Here is a 10426-nt window from a genome sequence, read left to right as displayed (position 1 = left end):
AGTGCTTTTGTATACCTTTTATTTGTATTCACTCAGCCATGCCACACCTTGGGAACACCTGCTTCAAGCCAGACACAGGGCTAGGCACCTGGCAAAATGGATTCATGAATAATTCATAAGCCCTTTATTGAAGGCCAGGTAGTTTGCTGTGTTGTGGAGACAGATAAAATAAGATAGCAGAGACAGGCATATAAGCCAGTAACTGTGGCACACTGGGATAAGTATGATAAAAATGGTGAGTTAGTGTACCTTCAAGGAGTGCAAAATCTTTATGGGTGTGGGTGTGAGTGTGTGTGTGCACATATTGGTATGTGTGCGATTTTGGATGCTGGGGATTGGTCATGCTGTGGGTGGAGGCCCCTTCGTATATTCCATCATGTCCAAAGGTGCGTTACGGACTAAGAAAGGGTGGGACGTCCTGTCCTGGAGAGAGAGAGAAAAAAAAAAGCCAGGTCATTTCGTTGATTAACGTCTGTATAATGTCCCAGGTAGGGACCATTTCCTTAGGAAGCTGCCGTGTGCACAGACGCTGCGAAGGTGTCTTGGGTATCTCATTTCATTCTCACATCTTACAAGCCCGGTGCTATTGTTATCCCTATTTTACACTTGAGGAAACTAAGGCAAAGAGAGGCAAGTCACAACATCACAGAGAGAGTGACTGAGCTGTGACTCATCCTGTTTACGCCTAATCCCAAAACTCTGCCTCTTTTTAATACCCAAGATGTGGGGCTTTGAGTGAATGAAACTTCCAGTCAGATGTGGCTTCCGCCTCATTTCAGAGCTCTCTTGGGTCCTTCCTCTTAGCCTCATTTTTCTCCCCCTGCTGCCTGCAGACATCTTCACCCCTTTAGGCCTTGGTGGAGGGGAGGGACCCAGCAGGAAGGGGAAGGACAGCAGGCGGGGCAGTGGGCACTCAATAAATATTTGTGGTTGAAAATATGTCAGTGAGAGATGGAAAGGGAGGGCAGGGGTGAATCGGGTGAGGCCTGCACAGTTCTTAGGTTCTGCTGGATGCGGGGCCCTAGACAGTCCAGGAAAAAGCCGGGGAAAGGAAGCCATAAGCCCTGCCTCTGGGGCCTGCAGGCTGGGAGGCAGCCATCTGCCCAGAAAGAATCCCTCCTTCTTGAAGGGCTGCTGTGGGAGTCGGGAGGGAGAGAACACCTAGGAGAGGAGAGGAGTCGGGGAAGGGCTCCCCAGCACAGCGGGAGGAGATGCAACACCCACCAAGCACTACACACTTGACCTTGTAGTCACATTATGTGCTACACCCTAAAGCTGGGTGCTTTATAGACACTCTCTCATTTAATACTGACAAGTCCAGGGAGGTGGGCAGTATTATTCCCATTTTTTTAGATGAGGAAATTAAGGCTTGGCAAGAGGAAATAATTTGAGCAAGGGAACATACATTATTTATTTATTAAATTAAAAAATAACCGCTGGGCATGGTGCCTCACGCCTGTAATCCCAGCACTTTGGGAGGCCAAGGCAGGCATTGAGGGATCTGGGATGGAGCTCAAACAAGGTTGTTTAAAAGAGCCCCTCACTTGAGGCCAGGAGTTCGAGACCAGCCTGGCCATCATGGTGAAACCCCCGTCTCTACTAAAAATACAAAAATCAGCCAGGTGTGGTGGCGCACGCCTGTAGTCCCAGCTACTTGGGAGGCTGAGGCAGGAGAATCACCTCAGGAGGCCGAGGCTGCAGTGAGCCGAGATCACGCCACTGCATTCCAGCCTGAGCCACAGAGTGAGACACAGTCTCAAAGGAAAAAAAAACAATAATAATGTTTGTATATATTTATGGGCCAGACTTTTTACAAATGAATCTAAATCAAATGATTCTGCTTTAAATTATTTAATTCTCACAACACACCTTGGAAGTAGGTCTCATGATGACTCTTATTTTATGGATGAGGAAACTGAGTCCCAGAGAGTTAAGTAACTGCCTCAACTTCAGACAGACAACAAGTGGTGAAACTGGGACTCAAAAATCATCCCCCGCCCCCCGCCCCACCCCCACCCCCACCGTCCACCCTCACCCCCACCCCCCGCCCCCCCGCCACGCTCCAATGGAAAGCCAGGGCATCTCAGGTTAGCAGCTGAGTCACAAACCTAGTGTGTTTGATTTCAAAGCTCTTTTACCCATTACACTTTAAGTAGGGATCAGGCAAAGACCTCCCAGGGTCGGGGGCAGCTGGTGGGAGCCCAGCGGGCAGAGCAGCAGTCATTGGAGGACAATTTGTCAGGCGTGCAGGAGGGAGGGATCCAGGGCCACTCCTACTCAGGAGAGTGGCAGGGAGGTAAACAGGTTAATGAGCCCCTGTGAGTGAATCACCGGGAGCGCAGTGAATGACTCCTACCGAGGAGATCGGTTGATGAGCTAGAGGAACTGGAGTGAGGCAGAGCTGCCCAGGGCTGCCTACCTGCTGAGGGTCGCCACCAGCAGAGGGAGAGGAGGAAAGTGGACATGCAGGACTCTGTGCTGCTTTCTAACTTCAAGGAAAGGGGACAAAGCACTGAAGACCTTTCAGACTAAGCAAGGAAGTGCTGAGTCCGAAGGGAAGGGTTGGCCACTGCAGCCCCTTTCTCTCTGGTCAACAAAGGGCTTCTTCACTGAAAGGAGAGGGCCAGTCATACCTACAGTCATGGAAAACAGAGCCCACAGACATATTTTTCATCCAGTCCCAGGAACGGTTTAGGCTGGACCCAAGAACTTGGGGTTCTTGAACAATGAAGGAGGTCATGGTAGCTTCTTTCCTGGAAATGGCACAGCAGGAGGCCAGGAGTGGGTGAAGCAAGGGGCAGTTTCCCAGAGAGAGCTCCTGTGGGGAGGATGGGAAAGCCCTGAGCTAGGGAGGCCGTCCCTGCCTGTGGTCCCCAGACGTGGCGGGCAGACCCTGCATTCCCTGGGCAGTCTGGACACCAGGCTGTGCTCAGCAGGGCTGGCAGGAAAAAAAGCCTGGACTGTTGAGAGTTGACATCCCTCTAACCCTGCCATGGTGGTTGGATCCTTCTCATCCCAGGTGGGATGGGGCCTAGGCGGCTCCCACGGCTGTTAGGATGAGCATGGGCTCTTCTGTGAGAGGAGGCCACCGGGGTAAGAGGGAGGGAAGAGGAGGAGAGAGCAGAGTGTCAGCCTCCAAGTCTCCCAGGGTCCTTGCACCCTGCTGCTCCGTCCTGGACACGGAAGAGGGGCTAGAGGGGAGAGGGCCAGCTGCAGGGAAAGGAGATTTTGCTGCCTGATCCCAGATGCTTCAGAGCTGGGAGGCAGACACAGTGGAAAAAGCAGGGGCCGTGGAGTGAACAGGCCTGGGTTCACATCTTGGCTCCAGTCCTTCCTGGCTGAGTGACCCTGGGGAATTTGCCTAGTTGATAGGCCTCAGTTTCCTCAACTGTAAAATGGGGATAATAATGCCTGCCCGATGGAATTGTGTAAGGGTTGACTCACCCTCCAATGTAGGGCTGCCTGCCAGAGCAGATGGGAGTGAGGGCAGTGAGCATGACCTGAGGAGGAGGTCAAGGCCAGAAGGGCTGGACTGTCTGGAAGAACCCACTGTGGGCATTCTTTATCCCTTCCCTCCAGCCGCTGGTCTCCTCAAAACAAGATCGGATGTCTTCAATGTGCTTTCTGTTTAGTGGTCAATTCTCTTAGCTCTAGGTGTCAACTCAAAGGCTCTGCCTCCTGCTATAGGAATTTCTAGTATCACGGGGTCATGGAGGGAGAGATTTTTTTTTTTTTTTTTTTTTTGAGACAGAGTCTTGCACTGTTGCCCAGGCTGGAGTGCAGTGGTGGGATCTTGGCTCACTGCAAGCTCCGCCTCCCGGGTTCATGCCATTCTCCTGCCTCAGCCTCCAGAGTAGCTGGGACTACAGGCGCCCACCACCATGCCCGGCTAATTTATCATACTTTTTTAGTAGAGACGGGGTTTCGCCGTGTTAGCCAGGATGGTCTCAATCTCCTGACCTCGTGATCCACCATCCTCGGCCTCCCAAAGTGCTGGGATTATAGGCGTGAGCCACCGCGCCCGGCCATTCCGTCTTATCTTATGCCAAAAAAGAGGAGCAGTAGACCTTTTGGGAGAGTGAAGGTGGGGCCCTATGGAACCCAGCCTCCTCTGGAGGCCTTGTCACAGGTTTGTGTGTGTGGGATCAAGGGCTGGGAGCCCAGGCTGTGCTCAGTGGGGGGGCTCATCAGTGAGGCCAGGCAGGAGGGAGGCGCGTAGGGTGGCAGGAGGGAGGTGCGTAGGGTGGCAGGAGGGAGGTGCGTAGGGTGGCAGGAGGGAGGTGAGTAGGGTGGCAGGAGGGAGGCGTGTAGGGTGGCAGCATGGAGGAGGAAGCCGGGCACAGAGATGGCATGGGGGCTCCCCAGGGGAGAGGAGTGTGGCCAGAGAAGTGACAACCAGATTGAAGTTGGTGATGAGAGAGAGGGAGGGGCAGGAGGCAGAAGGGACTTGAGCCAGCCTGGGGAAGGAGTGGAAAGGGAGGCCCAGCCAGGATGTGGTGGAAATAACTCCAGGCAAGTGGGGGATCTGGATTCTTCCTGTGTGACCTTGAGAAAGGCAAATTCGCTTTCCTGGGCTCCTGGCTCCTCTGTGTCTTCCTGATAGTCGATGGTCTCTTCACTTTGTGTCACTGAGTATTTTCTCACTTAACCCCCCAAGAGCTTCATGCGGTAGGCAGATCTAGTGTTATGCCCATTTTACAGATAAGGAACTCAGACTGAGAGTCAGAAAGGCTGGGTCACTTACCCCGAGTTACACAGACAGAAAGTGTGTGGCTGGAACACCAGGCCCTACATCTCAGAGAGGTTCTGGCTTGGGTGCTCTTTCTGGGGCACCATGTGGCCCTCCTAAAATAGCCAGAGGTAGCAGGGACGGACCAGAGGGCAGTGTGGTGGTTGGAGTGCTGTCTGACCCATTTGCTAGCTGTGCCAACTGGAATAAGTCATCATGCCTCAGGTTTTTCACCTGGAAAAGGGAATGACAATTGTGTTAGCTAACAGTGGCTAACGGTATACTGTGTTACACTGAAGATTAAATCATGTTAAATAAGTTTTAGCCTAAAGTTGCCTCTTTACATTTTTAAAGTTTGTCCTAAAGGTTTCTTCATGCATAGTGAACTGCCACCTAACTAGATATGTAAACACACTATAACCTACCTTTATAGCAATCACAGAGTTTTGGCCAATGAAAGGCAGCCCACTTGTCAAACCTTGTCCAAATAAGGCAAACGCCGGGGGTGTAACCAATCCGGGTGTTTCTGTACCTTACTTCCGTTTTCTGTGGGTCACTTTCCTTTTCCTGTCCACGAATATTATCGAATCATGCAGCAGCCCCCAGAGTCACTGTGAATCTATTCTGGTTGGGGGCGGGGGGCACTCGATTCGAGGTTCATTGTTTGCTCAGTGAAACTCAAGTTAAATTTAATTTGTTTAAAGTTTTTCTTTTAACAATTAAATAATGTACATTCTAATACCACAGTGCCTGGCTCATAATAAGTGCTCGATAAACGCTAGCTATGCTTGCCATTCTTTTAATTATAAATAACGAGCAAGTCTCTTAGAATGCCAAACACACCTTCAACCAGAGCTACATTTTCTCCTGTGAGAAGTTCAGGGGCTGCCAGAGCTGATGCCTAAGGCCCAGCCAGCTAGACTTTTCTGGTAGAGATGGAAATAGAGCTGAATGGAAGAGGAAGTGAAGATCTGGACTAGACGGTGGTTAATGTAGCTGCACGTTAGGACCACGTGGGGGCTCTTTCAAACAACCTTGTTCTGGCTCCAGCCCAGACCCATTAAATCTGAATCTGGCAAGTAAGACCCTGCACTGGTATTTTTTTCTTTAAGTGAGGCATAATTGATGTACAATAAAATGAACAAATCTTGAGTGCCCACTCAGGTTTGACAGTCGAGATGTTGAACACTCCCATTACCCGGTGCCCCCTTTCCATCAATTCCTCTTCCTCTCCCACTGTCATTTTCTGAATGCTATCTCTATCAACTGGTTTTGTCTGTTCATAGAATTCGTATAAATGGGATCATACAGTATGTATTTTCTTGTATGTGTGTCTGACTTATTTTGCTTAATGTTTCTGGAATTCTTCCCTGTGTTTTTTGCACGTATCAGTTCCTTTTTATTGCTGAGTGGTTTTGATGAGCCTATTCTGGTTGAGGGGCTGCCTGATTTGAGCATCGTTCTTTGCTCAAGTCAACTCTGTTAAATTTAATTTTGCCTAACGTTCTTCTTTTAACAATTAAATAATGCACATTCTAATACCATAGTTCCTGGCTCATAGTAAGTGCTCAATAAATGCTAGCTATGATTGCCATTCTTTTTTATTTTTTTAAGACAGGGTCTTGCTCTGTTGCCCAGGCTGGAGTGTAGTCACACGATCACGGCTCACTGTAGCCTCAAACTCCCAGGATCAGGCAATTCTTCTGCCTCAGTCTTCTGAGTAGCTGGGACTACAGGTGTGCACCACCACATCTGGCTAATTTTTGTATTTTTTGTAGATACAAGGTTTCGTCGTGTTGCCCAGGCTGGTCTCAAACTTCTGAGCTCAAGTGATCCACCCACTTGGCCTTCCAAAATTCTGGAATTACAGGTGTGAGCCACCATGCCCCGCAGATTACCATTCTTTTAATTAGCAGTAATGAGCAAGTTTTCTAGAATGCCAAACACACACCTTCAACACACCTTTGAGTTGCTTCAGGCTTTTTGGCTATTATAAATAAAATGGCTATGAACATTCATGTACAAATCTTTTTCTTTTTTTTTTTTTTGAGATGGAGTTTCGCTCTGGTTGCCCAGGCTGGAGTGCAATGGCGAGATCTTGGCTCCCTGCAACCTCCGCCTCCCGGGTTCAAGCGATTCTCCTGCCTCAGCCTCCCGAGTAGCTGGGATTACAGGCATGTGCCACCACGCCCGGCTAATTTTGCATTTTTAGTAGAGACAGGGTTTCTCCATGTTGGTCAGTCTGGTCTCGAACTCTTGACCTCAGGTGATCCACCCACCTTGCCCTCCCAAAGTGCCGGGATTACAGGTGTGAGCCACTGCACCCAGCCTCATGTACAAATCTTTATGTTCTAATGTGTTTCGGGTGCGGCCTAAACACCGTAAATTAAACACAGCTCACTGTAAATCCCTACATTCCTTCTTAATATGTTCATCAATTGATGGACATTTGGGTTATTTCTACTTTTTGGCTATTAGAAATAATACTGGTATGAACATTTGTGCACATTTGTGTGTGTATGTTGTGGGGGCATATGCTTTCATTTCTCTTAGGAGTGGAATGGATGGGTTATATGGTAACTCTATATCTAACTTTTTGAGGAACTTCCAGATTGTTTTCCAAAATGATCGTATCATTTTATATTCTCACTAGCTGTGTACAGGGTCAGAATCTTTTAAAAATGTAGGTCTGTTCGGCTGGGCGTGGTGGCTCACGACTGTAATCCCAACACATTGGGAGGCCGAGACGGGCGGATCACGAAGTCAGGAGATCGAGACCATCCTGGCTAACATGGTGAAACCCCGTCTCTACTAAAAATACAAAAAATTAGCCGGGCGTGGTGGCACGCACCTGTAGTCCCAGCTACTAGGGAGGCTGAGGCAGGAGAATGGCGTGAACCCGGAGGCGGAGCTTGTGAGCCGAGATCACGGCACTGCACTCCAGCCTGGGCAATTGAGACTCCGTCTCAAAAAAAAAAATGTAGGTCTGTTCATAAAGTGCCTACTACATACGGTTGTTCTAGGGATTATTTGTTAGATATTTTTCTTACAAGAGAATTTTGCCTACCCCAAGGTCAGGAAGATATCTTCCATCTTCTAGAGTGTTTATGGTTCTGAATTTCATGTTTACGTTATGATCCATCTTGAATTAATTTTTGCCTGTATAGCATAAGGTAGAGATTGAGGGTCATTTTTTTTCCAATACAGTATTCAGTTGTTCTAGCAGAACCTGCTAACAAATTTTATTTTCTACACTGAATTGAATTGGTGTTTTGGCCAAAAATCAGTTGACCATCTATGCATGAGTTTATTTCTGGACTCTATTCTATTCCATTGATCTATTGTCTCTCCTTACCAAGAACCGCATTGTTTTGATTACTGTGGCTTTATAGTAAATACTAAAGTCAGGAGGAATACATTTTCCAACTTGGCTCTTCTTTTCTAAAATTTTCTAGCTATTCTAGATTGTTTGCATTTCCAGATAAGTCTTAGAAGCAGTATGTCAATTTCTTTAAAAATACCTGCTGGGGCCGGGTGCAGTGAGTGGCTCACGCCTGCAATCCCAGCACTTTAGGAGGCTGAGGCTGGTGATTGCTTGGGCTCAGGAGTTGGAGTCCAGCCTGGGCAACGTGGTGAAACCCCCTCTCTACAAAAAATATAAAAATTAGCTTGGTGTGGTGGCACACTTTTGGTCCCAGCTACTAGGGAGGCTGAGGCGGGAGGATTGCTTGAGCCCAGGAGGAGGCTGCAGTGAGCGGCGATTGTGTCACTGCACCCCAGCTTGGGTGACAGAGCAAGATCCTGTCCAAAAAAAAAAAAAAAGCTGGAATTTTGATAGGGATTGTGTTGAATCCATATATATATATATCTCCACTTATTCTGATCTTTGATTTATTTCAGCAGGGATTTCAATATATTTTTCAGTCTTGCACATCTTTTGTTACATTTATTTCTATGTATTTGATGTTGTTTATGTTATTTAATATTGCTGTTGTATTTCTGGTTTTCCAATTTTCTGTTGCCAGCATGTAGAAATGCAATTAATTTCTTTTTGAGACGGAAATGCAATTAATTTTTTTTTTTTTTTGAGACGGAGTCTCGCTCTGTCTCCCAGGCTGGAGTGTAGTGGCGCGATCTCGGCTCACTGCAAGCTCTGTCTCCCGGGTTCACACCATTCTCCTGCCTCAGCCTCCCGAGTAGCTGGGACTACAGGCGCCCGCCACCAAGCCCGGCTAATTTTTTGTATTTTTTTTTTTTAGTAAAGACGGGGTTTCACCGTGTTAGCCAGGGTGGTCTCGATACCCTGACCCCGTGATCTGCCCACCTCGGCCTCCCAAAATGCTGGGATTACAGGCGTGAGCCACCACACCCGGCCTAAATGCAATTAATTTTTTTTGTGTATTTGTTGTGTACCCTGCAACCTTGTTCAGTTTGTTAGTTCTATATTTGTTTTGTTTTGGTAGATGACATCCCTCAGGCCCTGCTACTCTGGACTTTCATGATGGAGATGGTAATAGGAATTGTATTAAGAAGGAATGTAGGGATTTACAGTGAGCTGTGTTTAATTTACGGTGTTTAGGCCGCACCCGAAACACATTAGAACAGTCTTTGGAGGAGGGAGGCGGGGTGGGTGGGGCATCCTGTATTTTTAGAGTTGGAGATTCTAAAAGTTCAGTTGTGAACTCTTGATTTCGGTGCCAAGCGGCACTCAAGCCGAAAGGCCACCGACACTCGCCTGCGGGGATCAGGGCGGGATGACCTGGGTACCGCGGTCACGCCAAGGCCGAGGCCCTCACCCTTCCCCTCTTTGGGAAAGGGCAGACAAGTTCCGGGTTCCCTTCTAGGTCCGGGCGAGGGGGAGAGCGCCCCACAGACGACAGGCGCCTCCTGCCTCTCTCCTTCAATAAACAGTCCACAGTGTCCCGGCTGGGCTCGCCGTGGCCTCCGCCTTCCCGGCGGACACACCTGTTTACCCTTCACCGCCGGACGGCCAGGAGGCGCCACGACGACCCCAGCCCCGCCCAGGCTTCTCCGGGATGGACCGGCCTCCCGGGGCACAGATGAGGACCCTGACCCCGGAGGGGCCAGACACTCGCTCCAGGGCCCCTGGCCTGACCCTCTTCCCCTCGCCCCTTCAGGTACCCGGAAATTAAAGAGGAGCTGGAGGAGCTGGACCGCATCACAGAGCAGACGCTCTTTGACCTGTACAAATACAGCTCCTTCACCACTCTCGTGGCCGGCTCCCGCAGCCGTCGCGACCTGCGGGGGACTCTGCCGCACCCCTTGCAGCGCCTGAGGGTCCCGCCCCCGCCTCACGGGGCCCGTCGAGCCCGTAGCGTGGCCTCCAGCTTGCGGGACAACAACCCCCAGGTGGACTGGAAGGACTGGAAGATCGGCTTCCAGCTGGTGAGGCCCGCAGCGCCGAGGGGCCCGCCCCGCCCCTCGCCGGCCCCTGGCCCCGCCCACCCATGGGCTCCGCTCCTTTCCTGACCCGCCCGCGCAGCCCAGTGACACCACGCGGGGCCTCGTGGGCTCGCGGGCAAAAAAAAAAGTAAATAAATACAAATAATAACTAGATAATTAAAATAACACCTCTTGGTGCCCAAGCTTTTGGGGCCTCCTCCCTGGGGTCCTATGTAGAAGCATTTCAGGGGTAGGAAGTCAAATTTATTATGGAAAATGAACTTTTATTATTAT

At 49.6% G+C, this 10426-nt stretch overlaps 1 protein-coding gene and 1 long non-coding RNA gene across 6 annotated transcripts in view, besides 2 other annotated features; one reads left to right on the top strand and one right to left on the bottom strand.

Moving 5' to 3' along the window:
- SCNN1A (sodium channel epithelial 1 subunit alpha) overlaps positions 1–10426 on the top strand; it is a 30513-nt gene that overhangs the window by 3782 nt on the left and 16305 nt on the right. For all 3 annotated transcript variants that reach the window (NM_001159575.2, NM_001038.6, NM_001159576.2), the window contains one exon: positions 9868–10135. In NM_001159575.2, coding sequence (NP_001153047.1) covers positions 9868–10135 — 268 coding nt within the window. The remainder of the gene's footprint in view (positions 1–9867; positions 10136–10426) is intronic.
- On the bottom strand, positions 3–8265 carry LOC105369626 (uncharacterized). 3 transcript variants are annotated; one of them, XR_931591.3, is made up of 4 exons: positions 7797–8265; positions 4745–4963; positions 2634–2818; positions 3–423 (listed from the first exon to the last, which is right to left on the bottom strand). It is a non-coding gene; the product is annotated as an uncharacterized LOC105369626 (long non-coding RNA). The 3 variants fall into 3 exon arrangements; XR_931590.3 differs by lacking the exon at positions 7797–8265 and having other exon boundaries at positions 4745–5139; XR_931592.3 differs by lacking the exons at positions 2634–2818; positions 7797–8265 and having other exon boundaries at positions 4745–5139.
- Positions 9708–10301: an enhancer, noted in NCBI's record as "H3K27ac-H3K4me1 hESC enhancer chr12:6472443-6473036 (GRCh37/hg19 assembly coordinates)". NCBI's record gives its function as "activates a minimal SCP1, AML or CMV promoter by ChIP-STARR-seq in naive H9 embryonic stem cells {active_cell/tissue: H9 hESC(naive)}" and the evidence as "EXISTENCE:reporter gene assay evidence [ECO:0000049][PMID:30033119]".
- Positions 9844–10243: a silencer, noted in NCBI's record as "silent region_4160". NCBI's record gives its function as "represses an Ori minimal core promoter by ATAC-STARR-seq in GM12878 lymphoblastoid cells {active_cell/tissue: GM12878}" and the evidence as "EXISTENCE:reporter gene assay evidence [ECO:0000049][PMID:35858748]".

This window comes from Homo sapiens, chromosome 12, assembly GCF_000001405.40.
Source record: "Homo sapiens chromosome 12, GRCh38.p14 Primary Assembly".
NCBI lineage: Eukaryota > Metazoa > Chordata > Mammalia > Primates > Hominidae > Homo > Homo sapiens.
This window is presented reverse-complemented; position numbering and strand designations above follow the sequence as displayed.